We start from the raw sequence: 24,295 nt of genomic DNA on the forward strand, positions 1-24,295 counted from the left end.
TCCCGAATCCGACCAGCCCGGAGGCGGCTGCGCCTCCAGGGGCTCCCGTCAGGCCCCTGCCCCCCCTGCCCTCCCTGCCCTGGCGCGCCCCCGCCCCTAGCCGCCATCCCCGCCCGAGGGTCCCAGCCAGAGCCCCGGCCCCCGGCCCCGCCCGCGCCTGCTGGGCGCCCCCTGGTGGCCTCGGCTGGGCCCTGCCGCTGCGCCCACGGCCCTCGTGGGAGGCCCCTCCCTACCCCGGCCGCCCTCGGGCCCCCACGGTCTACTACCCCATGGGGACCGGCATGTCAAGCCCCTGCGTGGGCGCCTGCGCCACCCCCCCGCCCTCCGCACTCGCCCCCTTGTCCCAGCCCCGCGTCCTGGGGAGGAGGCTTGGGCCGCAGCCCAGCACCCAGAAGTGCAACGCGCACGGGTGGGGCCAGGCTCGAGTCAGCCGGTGACGCAGCCTCTGTGTGACCAGGGCGGATGGCCCGACCTCTCTGAGCCCCCGTTTCCCCGCCTGTAAAAGGGGGTGGGGCTGCCTCCCAGCGCCGCTGCGAGGCGTGAGTGAGTTACGACTCAGAACGCCCAGGTCCGAGGTGAGCACACGCGACACCCGCGAGCCACGGCCACGCGTGTCCCCAGGGCGCCTCCCGCCACGGGCTGGCCAGGAGTGTCCGCGCTGTGGGGATACGAAGGGGCGCGGCCCCAGCGCTGCGGGGCCCGCAGGGAGGGCGCAGGGGCCGAGCATCCGCCCCGGGGCATCCACCCATCAGGCCTCGCCGTAAACTTCCTCCTAACAGCCGCTCCTGCAGCCGGAAGATATTGACTCGAAGGAGAAACAATGGCAGGAATAAAATAAAAATAAAAAAGTTAATTATCCTTTGTGTTTGTAATTTAATTAAAGATGCAGTAAAGTTTTACTGTTTTTCCAGGTGATGATGTTTAGAGCCCCGAGAAGCTATTTGTGCTGGTGAGATTAAAGTGCATTTTAAAATGTTCCTCCAGTACTTTCACATTTGTTGATAGATTTTTAAATTAAACTTTAAATTGTAATCTAAATTACCTCCAACAATTCATGGTCCCTGTAATGAACTCCCACCGTTCCCGCTGTCATCCGTCGATGATGGAGTGCGAGCCGGGAGCTGCAGCCCCGCGGCCGCCGAACCAACCGCGGAGGCCAGGCAGCCTCGCCCCAGGGACCCCGCCCACGGCGCCCTACACCGGCGGCCAGTCAGGGAGGCCAACGCCGCGAGACGGAAGCAGCCATACCCCGCGGGCCACCAGTGTGGCCAGAAAAGATCTGCAGGGATGTGAGGGCAGCTCAGAGCTGAGATCTAAGGCTGGGGCAGAACCGGACGGCGCAACAAGCTAGGGAGAAAGCATCCCCGGCGCGGGGTGCACGGAGCCCCAGACCCCACCCGCCTCCCGCCCGGACCCCGCCTCCACTCAGGGAGCCGGGCCCCACCTCCCGCCCTAGGCCCCGCCTCCTACCTCGGGCCCCACCTCCCGCCTAGGCCCTGCCTCCTGCCCAGGCCCTGCCCCCAACTCAGGGCCCCGCCTCCCGCCCAGGCCACGCCTCCCACTGAGGACCCTGCCTCCCGCTCAGGGACCCGCCTCCTGCCCGAGCCCTCCCTCCCTCCCAGGTCCTGCCTCCCGTCCAGGTCCCCGCCTCCCACTCAAGGCCCCGCCTCCCACCCAGGCCCCGCCTCCCACTCAAGGCCCCGCCTCCCACCCAGGTCCCCCCCTCTAACCTGGGCCACGGCTCCCACTCAGGGCCCCGCCTCCCACCCAGGCACCGCCTCTCACCCAGGCCCCGCCTCCACTCAGGGCCCCGCCTCCCACCCAGGCCCCCCCTCTAACCTGGGCCACGGCTCCCACTCAGGGCCCCGCCTCCCACCCAGGCACCGCCTCTCACCCAGGCCCCGCCTCCACTCAGGGCCCCGCCTCCCACCCAGGCCCCCCCTCTAACCTGGGCCACGGCTCCCACTCAGGGCCCCGCCTCCCACCCAGGCACCGCCTCTCACCCAGGCCCCGCCTCCACTCAGGGCCCCGCCTCCCACCCAGGCCCCCCCTCTAACCTGGGCCACGGCTCCCACTCAGGGCCCCGCCTCCCACCCAGGCACCGCCTCTCACCCAGGTCCCGCCTCCACTCAGGGCCCCGCTTCCCACTCAGAGCCCCACCTCTGCTCAGGGCCCCGCCTGCGGCCCAGGCCCCGCCCCTCACCCTGGCCTCGCCTCCTGTGGTCTTGCATGCCACAGTTGCTCAGACCAGACTTTCATCATAATGTCCCCTCCCTTACAGAAGTAGAAGTTAAAGACAAAACCAATTTTGAGTTTCCAATTTTCTCCAAATGTTCTAGAAATCGGTCATTTTCTTAAATATTTAACTGTTACCTGAATTTTCTCTTCCTCGTGGTCCTGCATATCTGGAATATTACTGGCAAAACCCAATTAGACTTTTAAGACATGTATGTGTTTCTAAGCAGGCCAAATATCTTTTTTTGTTTTGTTTTGTTTTTAAGACAGAGCTTTGCTCTTGTCGCCCAGGCTGGAGTGCAATGGGGCAGTCTTGGCTCACTGCGACCTCTGCCTCTGGGTTCAAGCAATTCTCCTGCCCAGGCTCCCAAGTAACTGGGATTACAGGCACCCGCCACCATACCCAGCTAATTTTTATATTTTTAGTAGAGACAGGGTTTCTCCATGTTGCCCTGGCTGGTCTCGAACTCCTGACCTCAGGTGATCTGCCCTCCTCATCCTCCCAAAGTGCTGGGATTACAGGCTTGAGCCACCATGCCCAGCATTTTTTTTTTTTGATATAGGGTCTTGCTCTGTCATCTGGGTGTGAGTGCAGTGGTGTGATCACAGCTCACTGCAGCCTCCTCCAACTCCTGAGCTCAAGTGATCCTCCTGCCTTGGCCTCCCAAAGTGCTGGGATTACAGGTGTGAGCCATCACTCCCCACCCAAAATTTCTTTACATCAGCCACACAGAGCTCCTTGACTACTTGAAGGCAGCACATGGCAAACAGCCGAACCTTGTCAGCAATCCAAGAAATGAGCTTTAGGACAGCAAGGAGACGCCATTCTCATGTCACGTTTCAGCGTTTACTACTGATATGATAAGAAGGGTCCCTGCCGTGGGGGCAGTGTGGCAGGGCAGATGCTCTGTGACCTATACTCCAGCCAGGCCACGGCCATCAGGGCATGCTGCCTAGCAGGGCTGGACAGAGTCCACGGCGTTCCTCCTGGACCCAGCTGAACGACACTCCCCTCCCTGCCACGGACGTCACCACCACCCCGCGGGGAAAGACCAGAAGGGCAGGGAGTGAGCCAGTGCCATGTATGCCACCTACACAGACCCAAGAGAGAGTGGACGGGAGGCCCTGCACCCTGCACCCAGGCTGGGAAGACCAGGAGGAGGCTGGCGGCCCTGGCTGAGACCCCATTTGGAGGCTGACCTTGGCCTCAGAGAGCCACCCAGCCCGAGATCAGTCCTCTCCCGCCTGCGATCTCAGCACTTTGGGAGGCCGAGGCGGGAGGAGCTCTTGAGCCCAGGAGTTCAAGACCAGCCTGGGCAAAATGGTGAGACCCCATCTCTACAAAAACAAAAATTAGCCAGGTGTGTGGTGGCGCACATCTGTAGTCCTAGCTACTAGAGAGGGTGAGACAGGAGGATCACTGGAGCCCAGGAGGTCGAGTCTGCCATGAACTATGTTCCCCACTGCACTCCAACATGGGCAACAGAGTGAGACCCTGTCTCAACTAAAGCAAAACAAAAAATAGCTACATATATAGGCAGGATCCAGAGAAAAACCTTGGGATTGGATTTCTAGGTCCCAGATGAAGGGATCAGCCTGGATGAGCAAGAATGCATTGATTTGACGACTCTTTCTTGGTCATGAGAATTAACATCCTGTCAAGAACCTGGGTGATAGGGCAAACTCACTGCTAGTTGGCTCTTAGGAGCCTAAACAAAGTGATAGTTAACTCTCAGTGAAATGGCAATGTCCAGTTGTCCTGGGAGATGGCAAAGGGAGATGGGTGTGCTGGGTGAACACACTGTGGGTGCCAGAGACCCAGCAAAATCATGTTCTCTGGGAGGGCCAGAGGCTGTCGAGAGTGCACTGGGGAGGGGACCAGCACCAAGAGGAGGTGGGCGGAGTGTCCTCTGCAGGCAGGGTACAGTTAGAGATGGGAGAAAAGCAAAGGAAGCGGGGTCCCAGGTCTGCCCCATGAAGAAGAGCGGGACCAGCAGGAGGCAAGGTGGCCACATCTTAGACCCAGCACAGGCCTAAGGCCAAAGTCACTGGTCAGAGGAGTCTCGTGTCTCCCTTGGGGAACGAGCCATTCACTGGCTTCCCTGTGCTTGATCTGTGCTCCCAGGAGGACAATAATCTCTGGTCTGTGCCAGCAGGGATCAAGCACTTTGCATGATCACCTCATGTGCTTCTCACACGTCTCATGTGCAGCTCCGGTTACAAGGCACAGCAAGTGTGCACAACCCTCCCAGTCCTGCAGCTCCCAGCAGCTCAGGTGGAGCCATCCTGGCCTTTGTGCTCCTGACCCTGCTGCTGTGCTCCGCCTGATACCTGTCCCTCCTCCCGGGGCTTGTGCGAGGATTGAAGCGTTAGTGTCGTTCTTGCCGGCTCATGGGTGGGCACCTGCCTGCTTTCACCACCTGCCGCCAGCTTGCTTTCCAGGAGACGTCCTCTCCAGCCAGAGGTTCTCCTTGGCCCACATCCTTGTCAATCCTGGGAACTATACAATTATCTAATTTTTGCCTCTCTGATGGGTGCAGAGTTTATCTCACTGCTGTTTCCATTTGCGTCTTTCTGATCACTGGAGAAGCTGAACAACCACTCCTTGTCTATCATCAGCCATTCAGGTTCTCTCTGAGAATCTCCTGTTCGTGTCTCTGCCCCTTTTTCTTTTGGAGGCCTTGTCTTCTTCAAGGTGATTGATGGCTGTTTCCTGTGTATTCTATCAATCCCTTGTGGGTTTCAGATGTTGCGATATCATCTATTCCTCTGTCGTCCATTCATTAACATGGCCTATCGAATTCTTTGTCAAACAGAATCCTTCATTTTGATATATTCAAATCCATCCATTTTTCATCTTATGATTTGTTCTTTTGGAGTCTTGCTTAAGAAATATTTTCCTATCCAAGGTCACAAAGAAATTCCACAGCATTTTCTCCTATGAGCCTACAGCTTTACCGTTTACATTTAGGTCCTGAATCTCTTATGTTTAGGTTTCTCTTTGTATATGGTATGAGGTAGGGATCCTGCCTTCCATTTTCCATAAAGTGAGGCAATTTTCCCAACATTATATGTTGCAGTTACTATTTCTGCATAACAAATTATTCTACAACCTTGCATCTTAAAACAAGTATCTTAATTTGCTCACATTTTTGAGCATGAGTAACTTGGGAAAGGTTCAGCAAGGGCAGCTCTTATTTGGGAAGAGAGAAAGTGGCATGTGGCTGCACCTGGATGTCAGCTGGGGCTAGAGCCACCTGGGCTGGATGTCCCCATTGGCCACTCCCGTGGCTGGCAATGGAGGCTGGCTGTCAGCTGGGAGCTTGGCTGGGCTGTCAACACAAATGCTTACATGTGGCCCCTCCAGCATGGCGGTCTTGAGACAGTCAGACTTTTTACTCTGTGCCTGGCTGCCCCTATGGCAAGTGTCCCAAGAGGACAGGCAGAGGCTGCATGGCCTTCTCTGACCTAGCCTCGAAAGTCATGCAGTGTCATTTGCATTGCATTCTGTTGGTTACATGTAAGTCACAAGGGCCAATCCAGAGTTAAGGAGAGGAGACAGACTTCACCTTTCAGTGGGAGGAATGTCATGGTATTTGCAGACTTGTTTTTTTAATTAATTAATTTTTTAACTGACTAAAATTATATATGTTTACTATGTACAAGATGATGTTTTGAAATATGCATACATTGTGGAATGGCTAAATTTAGCTAAGTAACAAATTTAGCTAAATAACCTCATATGCTTATCATTTTTTGTAGTGAGAACACAAAATCTACTCTCAATGACTTTCAACAACACAATATATGATTAATTATAGTCACACGTTGTACAGTAGATCTCTTGAACTTACTCTTCCAATCTATTAATAACTGAAATTTTGTACCTTTTGACTAATAATGTCTCTACTCTCTCTCTCTCTCTCTTTTTTTTTTTTTTTTTTTTTTTGGAGACAGAGTCTTGCTCTGTCACTCAGGCTGGATGGAGTACAGTAGCACAATCTTGGCTCACTGCAACCTCTGCCTCCCAGGTTCAAGCAATTCTCCTGCCTCAGTCTCCTCAGTAGCTGGGATTACAGGCGCATGCCACCACACCCAGCTAATTTTTGTTTTAGTAGGGACGGGGTTTCACCACATTGGCCAGGCTGATCTCGAACTCCTGGCCTCAAATGATCTGCCTGCCTCGGCCTCCCAAAGTGCTGAGATTACAGGTGTGAGCCACTGCACCCGGCCCAATGTCTCTACCCTCTACATCTCAGTTCAACTTCTTTAGAGTCCACACATGAGTGGATCACGCAGTATTTGTCTTTCTGTGCCTAGCTTATTTTGCTGAACATAAGGTCCTCCATGTTCATCCACATTGTCAATAACAGGATTTCCTTCTCTTTGTTTCTGAGACAGGGTCTCACTCTGTCACCCAGGCTAGAGTGCAGTAGCAATCTTGGCTTACTGCAGCCTTGACTTCCCAGGCTCAGGTGATCCTCCCACCTTGGCCTCCCAAGTAGCTGGGACTACAGGAATGCGCCACCACACCTGGCTAATTTGTGTGTGTGTGTGTGTATTTTTAGTACAGACAGGGTTTCACCATGTTGCTTGGGCTGGCTTTGAACTCCTGGGATCAAGCAATCCTCCCGCCTCAGCCTCCCAAAGTGCTGGGATTATAGGCATGAGCCACCTCACCCAGCTTCCTTCTTTTTAAAGGCTGAGTAGTACTCAATTGTGTATATAGACCACATTTCCTTTATTCATCTGTCAATGGATACTTAGATTGATTCCATGTCTTGGCTGTTACAAATAGTACTATCATGAACATGGGCGTGCAGGTCTCTCTTGGTGAGACTGATTTTTTTTTTATTTTTTGAGACAGAGTTTCCCTCTTGTTGCCCAGGCTGGAGTGCAGTGGCGCGATCTCGGCTCACCACAATCTCTGCCTCCTGGGTTCAAGCGATTCTCCTGACTCAGCCTCCCGAGTATCTAGGAGTACAGGCATGCACCACCATGCCCAGCTAATTTTTTGTATTTTTAGTAGAGACGGGGTTTCATCATGTTGGCCAGGCTGGTCTCAAACTCCTGACCTCAGGTGGTCCACCCCCCCAGCCATGAAGCTGATTTTATTTTCTTTCAATATATTCTCAGAAGTTGAGGCCAGGCGCGGTGGCTCACACCTGTAATCCCAGCACTTTGGGGGTCCGAGGCGGGCGGATCACGAGGTCAGAAGATCGAGACCATCCTGGCTAACACGGTGAAACCCTGTCTCTACTAAAAAAATATATATATAAAAAATTAGCCAGGTGTGGTGGCGGGCGCCTGTAGTCCCAGCTACTCGGGAGGCTGAGGCAGGAGAATGGTGTGAACCTGGGAGGCAGAGCTTTCAGTGAGCCAAGATCGCGCCACTGCACTCCAGCCTGGGCAACAGAGCGAGACTCCGTCTCAAAAAAAAAAAAAAAAGAAGAAGAAGTTGAATTGCTGAATCATGTGGTGGTCTATTCTTAATTTTTTGAAGCACCTCTGTACTCTTTTCCACTTTTCTCCACATCCTCACCAACACTTGTTATCTTTCATCTTTTTGATAGTAGCTGTTCTAAAAGGTGTCGGGTGATATCTCACTGGGATTTTGATTTTGATTTCCCTGACTGTTCATGACACTGGGTGACTTTTTACAACCCGTTGGCCATTTGTGTGTCTTCTTTTGAGAAATGTCTACTTAGGTCCTTTGCCAATTTTTCAATCAGGTTATTTGTTTTCCTGCTATTGGGTTGTTTGAGTTCCTAGTATATTTTCGATATGAACCCCTCATCAGATGGGCAGTTTATAACCATTTTCTCCCATTCCACTGGTTGTCTCTTCACTCTGCTGATTGTTTCCTTTACTGTGCAAAAACTTTTTAGTGTGACATACTTCCAATTATCTATTTTCTCTTTTGTTGCCTGTGCTTTTGGGGTCATATCCAAAAAATCATTACCCAGACCAATGTCATGAAGCTTTTCCCAAACCTGTTGCTTAAAAACAGTAGGCATTTTTAAAACCTCTTCCCTTTCTGGCCGGGCACAGTGGTTTACGTCTGTAATCCCAGCACTTTGAAAGGCCGAGGCAGGCAGATCATTTGAGGCCAGGAGTTCAAGATCAGCCCGACCAACATGGTGAAACCCCATCTCTACTAGAAATACAAAAATTAGCTAGGCGTGGTGGTGCATGCCTGTAATCCCAGCTACTCAGGAGGCTGAGGAAGGAGAATCGCTTGAACCCAGGAGGCAGAAGTTGCAGTGAGCTGAGATTGCGCCACTGCACTCCAGCCTAGGTGACAGAGCGAGACTCTGCCTCGAAAATAAAAAAACCTCCTCCCTTTCCAAAGACATATTATATCACCCTGTGACATCAAGCTGCCACAAAAACATGGATTTATCAGGGGGAATCTGTCTTCAGTTTTATTATTTATTTGTTCCAGTGCCATTGGCGTACTGTTTTTATGTCTTTGTAGCATGTTTTAATACATTTTATAACCGTAGGCAATTTTAATAAATTTTAAATGATTGTATTTTAATTTATATTTAATATTTTAATAAATGTAGGGTAATTCCCCCTCCCTTTGCTCTTTTTCGAAGACTAAGATGTCCTTGTATCTTCATTTTTCAATGTACATTTTAAAATTAGTTTATTACACTTCTCAAAAATCTTTCATTTGAATTATATTTAATTTACAGATTAATTCAGGGAATACTAGCATCCTTAATGCTAAGTCAGCCATCGGCGGCTGTGATGCAGCTCTGCTTTCATGCCCGCCTTTTCAGCAGACTGGGATTTTCCCATTCTCCAAATAGGGTCTGGTGCGTCCTTCCTCAGGTGAATTCCTAGGTCCTCAATTGTTTCAACACTGTTGTGGTGGTTCCCCATTTGCAGTTTCTGTTTTCCCTCAGAACACTAGTGATGTTTGTAAGATAATTGTGGTGGTTTACAAATATGCTCCCAGATTCTTCAGTGCCCTTCCCTTCAAGAGGTGGAGCTTAATTCCACTCGCTTTGAGTGTGGGCTGTGCTTAGTGATCTCTTCTTATGAACAGAATGTGGCAGAAATGATGGTGCGTGACTGCCGAGAACTGGACATCAAAGGCCCTGTGGTGCCCTCCTTACTTGCTGGCTTCCAGGTCACTTGCTGGGGGTGGGGGCACCTGCTGTGTCATGAGGACATCCAAGTACGGGCAGGTCCACATGGTCAGGAAAGAACCTTCCACCAATGCCAGTAAGGAGATGAGGTCTTCTATGAGTGAAGCTATCCTCAAGACGAATTCTCCAGCCCAGGCAAGCCTTCAGGTGACTTCAGCTCCAGCCAGCACTTCAATCTCAGCTTCCTGAGAGACCCTGAGCCAGAACCACCCAACTTAGCTGCTCCCAAGTGCCTGCTCCCATGCTTTGAAAAAATAAATGTTTATTGTTCTGAGCTGCTAAACTTGAGAGTAATTTATTATGCATAAATGGACAATGATACAATGATCTTGTATCAGTCAGCTTTGCTAAATCGTTTTATAAGTTCTATTGATGTATCTGCAGATTCTGTTGGGCTTTGTGTGTAGGTAATCACATCATCTGCATATGATGGCAGTGTGTTCCTCCCTTTCCAATCCAGTACTTCCTATGCATTTTTCTTATCTTATTCTATTCATCCTGGTGACGAATTTGAGAAATAGACATGATATTCCTTTATCTCGTACTCGCTTCTATGGGAGATGCTGTGTAAAGTTTTTCTAATAAATAGTGATGTTGCTGTCAGTCTTTAAATAGGTAGCTTTTGATCAAGTTAAGAAAATGTTCTGTCCATTACTAGTTTTCTGAGAGTTTAAACAATAAATAGAGATCCAGTGCTATCAAATCCTTTTTTAATCTGTACAGATAATCATGCAATTCTTCCCCTCTAGTCCATTCACGAGGTAAATCATGTCAATAGATTTTTCTGATGTTGAACCATCTTTGCATTCCTGAAATAAACCTATTTGATAATGATTTTTAGAAACATACACTTGGGGTTGGTTGGTTATATTTTATTTATAATTTTTTTATTGAAAGGCCTTACAATTGTCTTTTCTGATTTTGGAATAAGAGTGTTGCTTGCCCATAAAATGAGGTGCAGGACATTTCTTTTTTTTCTGTTCTCTGGAAGAGTTTGCATGAGAAATAATTTCTCTTTCTTGAAGATTTTTAGTGGGGAATTATTTGTTTTCCATTTCAATTTCTTTCTTTTTCTCATTTCAATTTTCAATAGCTAATGGATATTAGTCTTTTACATTTTCTGTTTACTGTGGTGTCAATTTGGCACTTTATATTTTTACAGAAATGTATTCGTTTTATTTGGGCTTTCTGAATATATTAGTGTATAGTCATTCATAATTTTCCCTTCATTATTTTTGCCATTATTTTCCATTTTTATTCTATATTTACTTTGCTTCTTCTCTCCTTTGTCATCAGTATTGCCTGTCTTATTATATTTACAAGGTCCAGTTTTAACTTTGAAAATCTTCTCTGACTTTTTAATGTTAAAAATGTTTTCTATTTCACTGATTTCTGCTTTTTCTTTATTTACATCTTGTTTCCTTAGCTATATCTTTAGTTCTTTTTCTAGCCTATTGAGTTAAATGCTTTGCTCATTTATTTTTGACTTTTGTTTGTATTCTGATAAGTTTATTCAAAATCATAATTTTTTTTCTCTAGGTACTGCTTTGGGTATGTCTCACAGCTCCTGACACACAGAGCTTTAAATGTTGTATAATTTCTTTATGATTTTTCCCTTAACCAGGGGTATTCAGTACTTATGATTTTTCTTCCCAGATATCTGGACTTTCCTTTTTTTTACAATTCTTTTATTTATTGTATTGCATTATAGTGAAAGGATACAGTCTTTATTATGCCAATTCTTTGAAATTTATCACATTTTCTTTTGTGGCTGAAATAAGCAGCCCGACTCCATTTTTTGATGTCTGGCTGCCAACAGCTTTTAAGTGTCCCTCCCTTTTCTCCTGTGCCCCACATCTGGACAAGCTGATAAGAAAGCCCGGGTGCTCCCTCATTTGATGCTGGTGGGGAATTCAAACCACAGAAGGCCCTGCCTGCACATGAAAACTCTCACCCAGGTCCAGCCCTGAACCACAATAAAAACCTTTCCATTCCTTGCTCTCTCAAGCCATTCTTGACCTGCTTGGGAGGCGTGCCCTGCTCTCCTCAGAGACCTCAGTTATGCAAACAATCCAAACCATTTCAAGCCCTGTTGGTGTGTATGTGTGAAGCCATCCGTTCCCAATATTTGAAACAAATTTTGGGTAGGTTGCCTCTGAAGGTGACCATACAGTAGCCTAGCACATGGCCTGTTTTTGTGAATAATAAGTGTGCACAAAAGAAATCTGTATTCTCCATGAGATGTGTAAACTGATAGATAATAGAGGTAATTCAATTAATTTATTATGCCATTCAAATTAAATAGACTTACTTTTGTATATTTAATCTATTGTTTTATAAGAGGAATTTGTCGAAAATTCTAAATAACACAGTTTAGTCATATATTTCTCCTGGTAATATTCTCAGTTGTAGTTTTATATGTTCTAAGACTATATTATTTAATGCATATATATATATATATATATATATATATATATATATATATATATATAATCATTCTATGTTCTTGGTCTGTTGTTCTTTTGAACTAGTCCCTAATATTCTTCTTTGTCTTTTGTGATTTTTTGGCCTTATTTCTATTTTGTCTGACATTAGAATTGCTATCCCACATTGCTTTGGGTGTACATATTTGCCTGGTGTATCTCTTTTCCATCCCTTGATTTTCAATCTTTCTGTGCCCTTTCTCCTTTAAAATGTGTCTTCTCTAAGGAGCATACAGCAGCAGTTTGTTTTTCGTTCAACCTGTGAGTCTCTACTTTCAGATCATTGAGTCTAACTCATTTACATTTATTGTACTCACTGTTGCATTAGGGTTTATTTCTGCAGGCTGGCCCCCCTCTGGACACACTGTGGACTCTGCACTCCGGGACCTGTGATGCACCTAAAGAAGCCAGCCACCCCTGTACTTGCCAGGAATGAAGGAGAGAGAATGCGCATGCACATGTACCCCATGACATTCCTACAGAGAGTGTTGGCCATGGCATGGTAAGCTCTGCCAGGATGGGGTGGCAGTCAGTCTTGTTTCCCACAGCAACTGCAACACCCCACACAAGGCCCACCTGCACATCAAATACCCTAGTTCATGTTATTGTGAGTGGACAAAGGAATAGGTAGGTCCTGGTTCCTTCTGAGCACATGGTCTGGCCTGAGGCCCTACCCTACTTTCAGCTCCTTCTGGGTGTGAGTTTGGGATCCATCCAGGGGCCTGGGAGTCCCTGGAGGGAAAGCATGACCCAGAGAGGGATCTTAGCAGCAGAAGGAAACCCAGAGACCCTGAGCTGAGGGACTCCCCAGAGGGCCGCAGGAGGTCACCCTCCAGGGCTCCTCCTTCCTTTACAAATTGGGAAGCTCCACCCCGAAGGCCAGCTGCCCACCCCTTTCTGGCTGCTGACACAAGTTTTGGGGGCCTCCTTCTTGGGTGCAGGGTAGAAAGAGAAGACTTTAAATACAGTGAAACGGGAGAGTGGATATTTAAGCCCAAAGCAGTCGGTCACCCCAGACCACAGGCTGAGCCCAGCACCATACGGCTGGATGATAAATGGATGCTATTTTTAAAGAGAGACGCTGCTAAGATCGTTTCTATTTGTTCTGTGGGGTTTGTCGGGCCGCTGTGCCTACGTGTTAATGCAGCTCTCTGAGGAAGATAAACTGGAGAGGCTGAGCTCTGAACCCACCTGATACCATCAAACACCCCAGGGAAAAAAAAATGCCACGTAATAATCTCGTGAAGGTTTTCTAAATTAAGACCAAACAGATGACCGGCTGTGCACGGCGCGTACCAGCCACGTCCACACGCGGCCCCATCAGTCTCCGTGGGCGGAGCGAGGGCTCCGGGAGGCAGCGTCAGAGCGCGCAGGCCTGGAGGGCGCGAGGCCGAGACCACACAGATTACCCCCAAAGTCCCGGAGGGGCAGGGCCCAAGCCCAGGATTCCTGAGCAAGGCCGAGGGGGCCAGGGGGCAGGATCCCGGAGGCTGGGGGGCGCTGCGGTCCTTCCTGGGGGAAAACAGGGGCAGGAGAGGGGCCCTAGGGCTCCCGGGCGCCGGCCACACCCAGGGGCCCCCGACACGCGGTTCTGCACCCCCTGCCCAGCCCCTCTCCTGGGCCAAGCCAGGGTGAGCCCAGGGCCGTGACACTGGAGAGCCTGGAAGCCTGGGGATGGGAGGGCAGGATCTTCACAGCATGGAAGGAAGGAGGTGATTGAGGCCTGGGTGGAAGGAGCAGGAGGGAACAGAGTTCGCCGCAGAGCCCAGGCAGCCCCTGCCATCGCTGCCCACAGGGAGGAGAGGCGGCCGCGGGGGCGCCTGAGTGGGCGCCGGGCACCACGTCCCACCCGCACACGCCTGGAGCCCCCCAGACACGGGCCCCGCAGGAGGGGCGTCTGCAGGGCACATGGCCGAGGTCCTGGCTGCGGGGCCCGGGGCCGCTCACACCCTGCCCGGCTAGCCTATGGCAACGGAACCGGCCCTGATTCGGGCAGCTGCTGCCCCATCCCAGCCCAGCTGGGTCACTTTCTCCCCAGTGCCCAGGGCCGAGGGCCCATGCGGAGCACGAGCGGGCGCAGCAGAGGGTCGGGCTTTCTCCGCCGGCGGGGACACAGGCGTCCTGTGCGGGAGCCGGTGGCGGCCAGAGAGGCACCAGGTCCTGGGTCGGGGGCCGGGGGCATCTGAGCCTTCCCGACACCGGCCTCGCGGGTCCAGGGCTTGGCCCAGGCGCCTGGTCTGCAACCCAGACGTTTGGAGTCAGCAGAGGCACCCACGTCCCCGCGCGCCCGCAGGAGGGAAGCCGGCGCGGCAGGTGCGCTCAGCCCAGGCCAGGGGAGGCTGGACCGCGGCCCGGAGCCACGCCAGGGCCCCTCCGAGTAGGGTGAGCTCAGGCCCAGGGCCGCCCCTGACAGTCGCCCCGCGCCCCACGCCCCAACCCGGCTCCCCCCTCGGTAGATCAATAGCTTTGGAAATCTGAAAAGAGCCCAAACAAAGAAGTGGGCTTGTAAGTATCCAGCTTGTATCAGCTGATAAATGGTCCCCTCTTTAAGGGACTTATCTCTTTAGGGCTTGCGGGATGAGGGATGGCGTCATTTGTCCTGGACGCTCGTCTGGACCAGCCAGGCCGGATCTATTTAAAAGATAGCGCGATACTGTCGACAGCAATAGACAGGGTAATTGCAGAGCGGCTGCCGGGGTATAAATTACACGGCTCTAAGTGGTGGAGTGGCCGCGGGAGACTGGAGAAATTCCTGACAATTCACTTGTCCCTCTGCCCTGCCGCCAGCTTATCACGGGCCAGCAGAAGACGCGCGCTCGGGTGAAAAAATTAAGTATTGATCAAATTAACAGTTTTTACTGATCTTTTTAAGGGAGAAAAGGAGTGCAACAATTAAATTTAGAACACAAAGGACGGGGCAGGGTAACTCTTGACCCTGCGTGGCAAAGTCTGTGACACCAACAAGCACGAAATACGGTCTAGGGCAGGGCGGCGTTGCGGAAGGCCGACCCGAGGGAGAGCAGGGGCCGCTGGGGGCAGCTCCCGGGGCCAAGGGTGAGCAGAGACCGCTGCAGGGAGGGGCGCCGCGGGCCCCAGGTCCCCCCAGGCTGCCAGCAGGGCAGCCAAGCCGGAGCCTCCTCTGCGAGGTCCCTGAGCCGCTTCTGGGCAGATTCCCTCCTTCCCTTGGGAGCCAGCAGCGGCCCCGCCTCCAGCGGCCCCACATAGCAGGAGGCAGGACGGACAGATAAACCGATTCACAGGTCACCAGGTCAGGGCTCAGCCTGGAAGACTTCCTGGAGGTGGAAGAAGGGGAGGGACCCAGCACCTGCCCCAGCCTGTGTCCCCTTCTCCTTGTGGGGGGACCCTGGGCAGGATCTAACAATCCCCAGCCTCAGTTTCCCCTCATGAAAAAAGGATGATAGAGGCACTGCCCCCCGGGGTATACAAGCAGGCACAAAAGGCACCCCCCACGGTGGGGGTATTACTGTCATCATGATTATTTTGGGTTCTCTTCTCTATCTTCTTTTCAAAAATCTGGTAATGTGGATCTATGCTTTAATAGTTTTAGGCCAGGTGCAGTGGCTTACGCCTGTAATCCCAGCACTTTGGGAGACCAAGGCAGGCAGATTGCTTGGGGTTGGGAGTTGGAGAACAGCCTGGGCAACATAGGGAGACTCCATTTCTGCAAAAATGCAAAAGTTAGCCGGGTGTGGTGGCTCCACACATGTAGTCCCAGCTACTCAGGAGGCTGAGACAGGAGGATCACTTGAGTGTAGGAGTTGGAGGCTGCAGTGAGCCGTGATGGTGCCACTGCACTTCAGCCTGGGCAACAGAGCAAGACCCTGTCTCTTAAAAAAAAATGTGTAAGGTGCTTAAGTTTTACAAAGTTCACATTGCCTTCATAATATACATTGCCGCCAGGAAGGAGCTCTCGGGTGTGGAGGGGGAAGTCTGTTCCTTCTGCAGACTGCCGGCCCCAGGCAAAGCCGTGCACAGGCCCACTGGGCCATCTGCCACCCCATCCCCCCACAGGATGGAGACACAGCTTGCTCATCGGGGACCAACCAAAGCACCATGGGACCCAGCCAGTGCCAGCATGCCAGGGACGGGGAGGCACAGATTCCAGCTCCCACAGGAGTCAGAGGACAGGGAAGCCGCAGCCACTGAAAGGACAGAAACGCACAACTGGTCCCTCTGCCCACAGGGACCCCCGCCCACCTCCAGGCTCTGGACGGCCACAGGGCCCCAGCAGCAGGGGTGCAAGAAGGCGGGCAGCAGGAGCCCCACCGGCTCCTCTTTGTACAGACGCTGCCATGGTCCTGCGTGGCCATTGGACAGTGGCCAGGACAGGCTCCCCACATCCTGGCGCCCTGCTGACCCTCCCAGGCTTTTGTCTATTGAAGGCTGAGAAGGGGCATGCAGAGGCTGGGGGTCCACCACAGGCCGGGGACAGCAGGGCTGCCCCACCCCTAGGCTTGGTGGTGCTGGGCACATCAGAAACCACTGACACTACGTGGCTGGTGGGGTGGGGCTGGGGTTGGTGGGAGCCCTGGGAAGTCACCACTGGTATAAATCGTGGCACAGACGGCAGACAAAAAAACAGCACCAAGCAGCCCTTGTCCTGTGCACAGACCCCTCCTGACACTGCAAAGCCTGGCAGGACACTTGGAGCTTACCCAGCACCGCGGGAAGCGCCAGCACACAGCTCCCAGGAGCCAGGCCCGGTCCCCAGTCCAGCCGGGCAGAGAGGAAGCAGCAGAATTGCAACTCAGTCCAGGCACCAGCTCTGATGTGTTGAGAGGCCTCAGGTAGGCCCATCTGTGGTCTACTGGGGCCCTTTGTCTCTTCCTCTCTTGTGCTGTCAGAGGAGAGTCCCACCCCAGAGGCCAGTCTGATCCTCTCTGTGGTGCAGGTGCTCAGTGATGGTCCACAGGACCGGGTGTGACCCCTGGTCACTGTCTGCCCAAGGCACGGCTGAGCTCAATGGGGACCAGCACCACCATCTTGAGACGTGGGGCCACAAGAGTGGCCGTCCAGCCTCTGCTGCCTCTCCCTGCTGATGTGGCCCATGAGGGTCCCTGCTCCTGCGCTGGGCAAAAAGTGCACACAGAGACAGAGGGACGAGGGGAGGGTTGGCTCCAAGGCCACTACCAGGCCACACCCACAGAATCACCAGGCCACCTCCAGGGACCATGCATGGTCTGGTGGGGGCTGAGTTCTGACTCACATCCTCGCAGCACAGGGCCAGGCTGAGGGACGCTGGGCTGGCAGGTCCCCTCTACATAATTCCATGCTGTCCGGATTTTTTATTATAGCCACGTATTGTTTTCAATTAAACTTTTTACTTTGAGAAAATTGTAGTTTCACATACAGTTATGAGAAACAACACAAAGAGATCCAGTGCGCCCCCACCCACCTTCCCCAAAGGTACCCTCTTGCCAAGCTGTGGCCAGTGTCACCGCCCAACGCTGGCTACACCGTCCAGATGTGGGCGCTGTTCCCACCTCAAGGACCCTCCTGGCCCTCCACTGCCCACCACACCACCCGAACCGGACACCACTCATCTGCCCTCCATTTCCACAGCTGTGTCACTGCAGGCATGCCCTCTACAGGGACCAGATGGAAGGGCACCTTCAGGGACTGGCTCTTTCACTCACACGGTGTCCGCCCGCCGCGGGCTGCTGTGGCCTCCACCGAGGCCGTGCCACACGGTACATGCGGGTTGCTTCCAGATTCCCAACTGTACTTCTCCCATGAAACTTCCTTTAAAAGGGGGAAAGACAGAGAGAGAGAGAGACAGAGACAGAGACAAGGGGAGAGACAGAGACAAGGGGAGAGACAGAGATGGGGAAGAGACAGAGACGGAGTGGGGAGAGACAGAGACAGTGGGAGAGAGAGACAGAGGGAGAAACGGAGGAGAGGGAGACAGCCCCTGGCAGGTGGGAAAGGCCCCCGGGGGCTCGCCCTGGGCAGCTCCGCACCCTCCTCGGGGCCTCCCTCCAGCATCGCATCTCCCCTACTTCAACGTCCAGGCCACCAAGGCTCCGAGAGGGGACAGGCAGCTCCTCTGGCATCTCTGGATCCAGTGGGGCAGGGCCTTCTTTTCCCTCACTGGGACTCCAGCCTCTTCCCACAGGCCTGGGCTCCCCAGACACCAAGGGCATCTGGAGAACACAGACACCGGGCACCCCTGGGCTCCAGCCAGACATCGGCAGGGCCCTCAGCCGCCTGGCTCTCTATCAGGGGTCCCCCTCGAGGGTCCCCTCACTCCCCTGCCTCTGCTCCTCCCCCCACCACTGCCCATCCTAAACTCAAACCCAGCAGAACCCCACCGGCCCGACACAGCTTGAGGTGAGGGGAGCCCTGAGGACTGCCCCGTGCCCCCACGTCTACCCCCAACTCAGACCCCACAGCAAACACGCACTGGGGGACCAGGTTCTTCCTCGGGGCCAGGCAGGAGCCCAGGAACCATGCTGCTGGGCCCAGGGCCCTGGAGAGCCACACACCCCACACAGGTGTGCCCCCTGCCTGCTCCAGACCCCCAGCCCCTCCCTCAGAACTGACCCAGCACAGTGTGGGTCCCTAAACAGTCCCAAGTTCCTGAGAGGGGAAGTCAAACCCTCCGGGGCCCCCCAACAGTGCCTCCTGCCCCATCCAGCCCTATGTGGCTGCAGGGAGCACCTGGGTGGTACAGCCCATCGTCCCAAAGAACTGAGGACCAGCCGGGCGCGGTGGCTCACGCCTGTAATCTCAGAACTTTGGGAGGCCTAAGCAGGCAGATCACATGAGGTCAGGAGTTCGAGACCTGCCTGGCCACCATGGTGAAACGCCATCTCTACTAAAAGTACAAAAATTCGCCGGATGTGGTGGCGGGCGCCTGTAATCCCAGCTACTCAGGAGGCTGACGCAGGAGAATCGCTCGAACCTGAGAAGCAGAGGTTGCAGTGAGCTGAGATCGCACCACTGCACTCCAGCCTCGGCAACAGAGCGAGGCTCCAAAAAGAACTGAGGACCTTGGCGGAATGACCTCATGGGAACCCCAGGACTGTTCTAAAAGAAACACCTGGAAGGTGCCCTTTGAGAGCCAAGCTGCATCCCCAGGCCCAGCCGAAGGCCACTGCTGCTGCCTACGTACCCCCTTTGTGAGCCCCTAGGGGCCCAGCCCCTTCTTGCCCCTTCTCCGGCTGTGGGGAGGTAAGTGGGAGAAGATTCTGGGAGAAAAACAGCTCCACCGAGGCCCTGGGCGGTGGGGAAGGCACAGCGGACTGCCTGCTCTGATCCGAGGCCTGCAGCCGCAGCTGCATGGAGTGTGCGGGAAAAACGTGGGGCCAACTCCAAACGCTGCGCCTTCCGCCAGGCCCTTGGCCCGGAGGGGCACGGACGGGAGCCAGGACCCCCACTCTGGTTGAGGGGCTGCCTGGATCTGTTTCCTCAAAGCAGAGGCTGACGGGGGCCGCAATCCCCAAACAATGAGGCTGAGAAAGGAAGTGGGTAAGACAGCCACGTTGGCACTCCCAGAGCGGCCACAGAAGCAGTTCTGCAGGCAGCACGTCCCTCAGGAGACGATTTTTAAGCGTGAAGAATTGCTGTCGTCCGATCCTTCTGGAACGCACCCCCTCCCGGTTTGATGCCTTTTCTCTGCATAGTAATGTGTCTTTAAAAAAAAAGAGCCACTGATATATGTTACGAGAAGTGTATCTCTTACACTGAGACAGGACATTTTAATTCCCCGACACCTTTTAGTGATTGCTTCAATTTCCGAAGATTTTGATAAAATCATGCGGTTTAAGAGCCGCAGGATGGAGCCCGGCGGGCGGAGCGTAATGAAATGCTGCTGTTTCACAGCCTTCACGTGGCACAGCCCAGCTCCGGGGCTAATAAATGCTGCGTGATAAATGTTGGAGTCATGATTGTAAAAATATACTTGTAATTGGGTTAATATGCCTTAAAATACTACCCATCAGTTATCTTTCTCTCTCCTCTCTGTAGCGTGCGCAGGGGTGCGTGCGGGTGCAGCACCGCGTTCCTTCCCCGGCCCGCTTCCCTCCTGGCCTGGCAGACCCTTCGTCACCGAGGCCAGGGGATCCAGGGTGCCGGAGCGCAGGGCCGTCGGCTCCAACCCCGCCTGGTACTTCACCGAGGCCAGGGGATCCAGGGTGCTGGAGCTCAGGGCCGTCGGCTCCAACCCCGCCCGGGACTTCGCCGAGGCCAGGGGATCCAGGGTGCCGGAGCGCAGGGCCGTCAGCTCCAACCCTGCCTGGTACTTCACCGAGGCCAGGGGATCCAGGGTGCCGGAGCTCAGGGCCGTCAGCTCCAACAACTCCGCCCGGTACTTGGCCGGAGCAGAAGCACAGTGGGACTCGGGCCAGCCAGGAGCCCATCGGGGGCAGGGCATGGCACCTGGACCTGAGGGACATCTCGAGTGTTTCGCAGACAAGGAGACAAGGCACAGAGGCCAAATGAGTGGCCCCAGGCCCCACAGCCACGGGAGCAGCACTGGACAGGAGGCTGGGGAGGCGTGCGGCCTCGTCAGCACAGGTGGAATGCATGAGAAAGAATTGTGCAAATAGCACAATTTTCAAGGGTGGGGACTGCCCTCAGCCCGGGGGACCAGAGCACCTCCCCTACCTCTGCAAGAGCCTAGGCGGGCCTTGGCCCAGCCCAGCCCACCCCGCTTGGCCCTCTGGGAGGCTGCGCCCCCTCACAACACACACATACATACCCACACTAGTCAAACACACGTGCACAGACACCACACACCCCGCCACCTGCCAGCCACACGCATACTCACCCCAGACACCTGCACAGGCACTCCGAGTCCCAGTGGGGCCAGTGGCGCTGAGTGTTGGCTCCCAGGAAAGAAAACGGCAGGGCAGAGGGTGTGGGCTGCATGGCGCTGTGGCGGTCCCTTGGGGTACTGCCGCCCCTCCCCCTCCTATTTCCTCTCCTCCCCCTCCTCCTCTCCCTCTCCCTTCCCCTGATGCAGGCCCCACCACGTGTGACCCCCTCTCCCACCTAGGCGAGGCCCCTCCCACTTTTCACTGGGTGCTATGGTTGGGGCACAGGCCACTTCCCTAATGCAGGGACCACTGAGCAAGTCCTCCCCTCGCCAGAGTCCAGGCACTCAGCTGAGCCGAGGTGGGGGCTGCCTTGCCAGGGATGAGCCAAGCCCTGCTGCCGGTTTTAGTGTGAGGTGAGCTGAGGGCTGGGGCAGGAGGGGGTGCCCTACTCCAGAAGGGGTCAGAGTTGGGGCTCCTCTGCAGAGGAGGGCTCTGGCCTGAAGTTGGGGCACGCAGGGGCTGGGTTCACCCCCTCACAGGAGCCTCAGGGTGCCCCTCAAGTCAGCAGGTGGACACGGCAGTTCCCCAGGCCGAATGAACCAGAAAGCCATGTCTATAGGCAGGTGGGGCCAGGGAGCCACTCTCCCTCTAACCCTCAGCCCCTCCCCTACTGCTGCCCCCAGCGCAGGGAGGACAGGGCTGCACCAGGAGGCCACCCACCCACCCGAGGCCCTGGCAGGGGCTGGGACCCCACGTGTGCACTGTCCCTGCAGGCCCCACACGGCCAGGGTGAGCAAGAAAGGCGCCATTGCTGTGGCCGGCACACTGCGGTCCCCATCGGCTTGCCTCCCCTCTGCCCTGCTCCACCTGACCACTTCTTTTCTTTTTCTTTTTCGTTTTTGAGGCAGGATCTTGCTTTGTCGTCCAGGCTGGAGTGCAGTGGTGTGATCACAGCTCACGGCAGCCTGGACCTCCCAGGCTCAAGCGATCCTCCTGCCTCAGCCTCCCCGGCTCAGGCAATCCCCCTGCACCCAGCCCTGACCACTTCCCTGTCGCTGTGTCTTCCATCTTAGCATCTGTACCACTGCATCCTCTGCGGGGCAAGTGCGGGTTCGGAGGAGACGGCTCCTGTCAGGCCCAGGCTGTTAGGCTCGACGTCTGGGACATGGCGACCAGCCCTGCCCCAGGGCCCAGCCCTGGAGGGAGGGGCCGAGAAGCTCAAGGCTCCTAGAACAGCAGGCAGACGCCCCCCAGGGCCACGCCCAGGGCCAGCTGTCTTGAGGCCTCCATCTCAAGAGCCCTCCTGCCCAGCCCTGCCCCAGCTGCCACAGTGGAGGTGGGGGTGGGGGTTGGGACAGTCCTCCAGACCCTGTCCGCTGAGTCAGGCCCCCACCTCATCCCAGGCTGCCAACGGGCAGGGCCAGAGACCTCCCAGGGGACCCCTGGAGCCGCAACAGGTCGGACACCCACCTGGGTCCCCCATGCAGGAAAAACCTGCACTTTCCTGGGCACTGCTTTCCGGGGGCCCCCCGTACAGTGGGGACACCAGGCAGCGGCCTCGCCCTTCCAGCTGCTCTTCCGGACACACCACCCTCAAGGGCCCATCCGTCCACCGTTCACACAGGCCAGGGCTGAGCAGTCAGGGCGTGGCGGGAGGAGCTCCATGGGACCCGGCCCCTGTCATCCCAGCTCCTAGGCCTCCTCCTGCACCCACCTGTGCCTTGCTGCCCCTCCCGGGTGCACTGCGCCCCCCAGCCCCCACCTGGAAAGTCTGCAGAACAGGCTGCGCCCCATTTGCCATGCGCCCCATCTGCCATGCGCCCCATCTGCCATGCGCCCCATCTGCCATGCACCCCATCTGCCATGCCCAACCCTCAAGGCCTGCCAGGATCACCCATTCCCCAGGAGCAACATTTGTCTCTCCTGCCCTCCCCTGGCACCCCCTGCCCCTGGGCTGTGAGCTCCTTGGGGAGAGGATGTGTCCCTCCTGGGGGCCCTAAGCTATGGCAGGGCCTGGCACGTGGGCTGCCTGACCCAAAGTGCCCGATGGGGACTAGGTGCCAAACTAGACGGGTGGCCAATCCAGCTAGAGCGAGGCTGGGGGAGGGGGGATGGGCGGCCAGTCCAGCTTGTGTGGGGCCTGGGGAGGTGGGCCAGGGGAGGTGGGACGGTGGAGGTGGGCCGGGGGAGATGGGATGGGGGAGGTGGGACAGTGGAGGTGGGCCGGGGGAGGTAGGACGGGGGAGGTGGGATGGTGGAGGTGGGCCGGGGGAGATGGGACGGTGGGTGTCACCTTGGCGTGCCAGGGCACCAGGGCTGGTTCATGGTGGTGCCGGCGGCTACACCCAGGACTAGGCCTGCCTCATGCATGGCTGATGGTGTCATCCACACAGTGGCTGGGCAGAGATGCAGGGGGGCCTGGCATAATTGGATAATTCCATTTTAAGAGATCTGGGGCAAGAAGCCCTGCCGGGGGAGCTGGGCCCCCACCTCCCAAATTGCCTCCAAATGAAAGTCTGTTTAGGTGGCTGCAGGGGCAGGGGAGGGGCAGTGGGTGCAACACACAGGCAGAGGTGCCGGTCTTGCCGTCAATTCCCTGGCCAGGAAGGTGGCGACAGGCTGGGGTCTCTGGCCCACACAAAGGCTGCGGCAAATGAAATGGTGTCTGCCTGCTTATGTGAAGAGTGATGAAACTTTAAATGAATCGCTGACCTTTCTGGAATGACAGGTGACCCGAGAGATATCTGAGGTGGGTATCGGCAGCGGCCTCGAAAATTGCTGCTGCTGCCCGAAAATAAACAATAAGAGAGCAAATGTGGTTTGAAAAATTGACTCGCTTCAAAGCTGGGGGGAGAGAAAGTGAATTATTTCAGGTCTGGGTGGGCCCCTCCGCGCGCCCCCTCCCCGCCAGGCAGGAGCTGCGAGGCCAGGCTGAGCGAGACCCGGTGTAAGGTACGACAGTGGCAAGTGCGGGTGTGACGGTCCCGGAACCCAGGGGTCTCGGCCCACCCACCGTGGGAAGGAGGTCCACTAGGGCCCCAGGAGGGGTCTGAGGGCAGCAGGAGCCGGCTCCGGCGGGAGGGGCTGCTTGGAAGCCGGCCCACCAGGGCCATGGTTCACACCACTCCAGGACGCCCCCTCCGTCTACCCGCCAGGCCAGCCACGGCACTCGGGTCATGGGGGCCGCCCTCCTGGCTGCCCTGTCCTCCATCCTCTCCCATCTCCCAGCCGTCCGGACACAGCTCGGGGGTGGCGCATTTCACAACGAGGGCCCTGAGTTCAGAGGTTGCGTCCTCTCGCCACCTTTCCCCAAGCCCAGTGCGGCGGCTCCTGCTCGGTGGGAAGCCCAGCTGTGTGTATGAGTGGGGCGAGCCGAGTAGCAAGGAGCCTCTCTGTGCCTCAGTTTCCTTGGATAAGACATGGGATGGCAACAGCCTGCAGGCGTGGGGCCACCAGGAGGGTGGAATGGGTAAACGCTGGTGGGCACACCCAGGAGCCAAGCATCGTCACCCACGGGGAGGGGAAGAGCCAGACCTTCAAGGGGCCCACAAGAGACAGGCCAGCCACAGTCCCTGAGGGGCGAGACGGCTCCCCTCTGCAGGGCAGAAGGCAGAGCCGACCACAGCAACAGAGAGGC

The 24,295-nt window shown here is 55.1% G+C and overlaps 1 protein-coding gene across 1 annotated transcript in view, besides 7 other annotated features; it reads right to left on the reverse strand.

Moving 5' to 3' along the window:
* Window positions 1-24,295, reverse strand: part of FAM53A (family with sequence similarity 53 member A) — a 111,956-nt gene that overhangs the window by 5,054 nt on the left and 82,607 nt on the right. The window lies entirely within an intron of this gene.
* Window positions 147-426: a silencer, noted in NCBI's record as "silent region_15132". NCBI's record gives its function as "represses an Ori minimal core promoter by ATAC-STARR-seq in GM12878 lymphoblastoid cells {active_cell/tissue: GM12878}" and the evidence as "EXISTENCE:reporter gene assay evidence [ECO:0000049][PMID:35858748]".
* Window positions 1,224-1,283: a silencer, noted in NCBI's record as "silent region_15133". NCBI's record gives its function as "represses an Ori minimal core promoter by ATAC-STARR-seq in GM12878 lymphoblastoid cells {active_cell/tissue: GM12878}" and the evidence as "EXISTENCE:reporter gene assay evidence [ECO:0000049][PMID:35858748]".
* Window positions 1,464-1,673: a silencer, noted in NCBI's record as "silent region_15134". NCBI's record gives its function as "represses an Ori minimal core promoter by ATAC-STARR-seq in GM12878 lymphoblastoid cells {active_cell/tissue: GM12878}" and the evidence as "EXISTENCE:reporter gene assay evidence [ECO:0000049][PMID:35858748]".
* Window positions 2,047-2,273: a silencer, noted in NCBI's record as "fragment chr4:1582889-1583115 (GRCh37/hg19 assembly coordinates)". NCBI's record gives its function as "represses an EF-1alpha promoter that drives an FKBP-Casp9 reporter gene in an ReSE screen in K562 erythroleukemia cells {active_cell/tissue: K562}" and the evidence as "EXISTENCE:reporter gene assay evidence [ECO:0000049][PMID:32094911]".
* Window positions 2,090-2,249: a silencer, noted in NCBI's record as "silent region_15135". NCBI's record gives its function as "represses an Ori minimal core promoter by ATAC-STARR-seq in GM12878 lymphoblastoid cells {active_cell/tissue: GM12878}" and the evidence as "EXISTENCE:reporter gene assay evidence [ECO:0000049][PMID:35858748]".
* Window positions 14,995-15,510: an enhancer, noted in NCBI's record as "H3K4me1 hESC enhancer chr4:1595837-1596352 (GRCh37/hg19 assembly coordinates)". NCBI's record gives its function as "activates a minimal SCP1, AML or CMV promoter by ChIP-STARR-seq in naive H9 embryonic stem cells {active_cell/tissue: H9 hESC(naive)}" and the evidence as "EXISTENCE:reporter gene assay evidence [ECO:0000049][PMID:30033119]".
* Window positions 19,598-20,424: an enhancer, noted in NCBI's record as "H3K27ac-H3K4me1 hESC enhancer chr4:1600440-1601266 (GRCh37/hg19 assembly coordinates)". NCBI's record gives its function as "activates a minimal SCP1, AML or CMV promoter by ChIP-STARR-seq in primed H9 embryonic stem cells {active_cell/tissue: H9 hESC(primed)}" and the evidence as "EXISTENCE:reporter gene assay evidence [ECO:0000049][PMID:30033119]".

Source organism: Homo sapiens, chromosome 4 (assembly GCF_000001405.40).
Source record: "Homo sapiens chromosome 4, GRCh38.p14 Primary Assembly".
In the NCBI taxonomy this organism is placed as follows: Eukaryota; Metazoa; Chordata; class Mammalia; order Primates; family Hominidae; genus Homo; species Homo sapiens.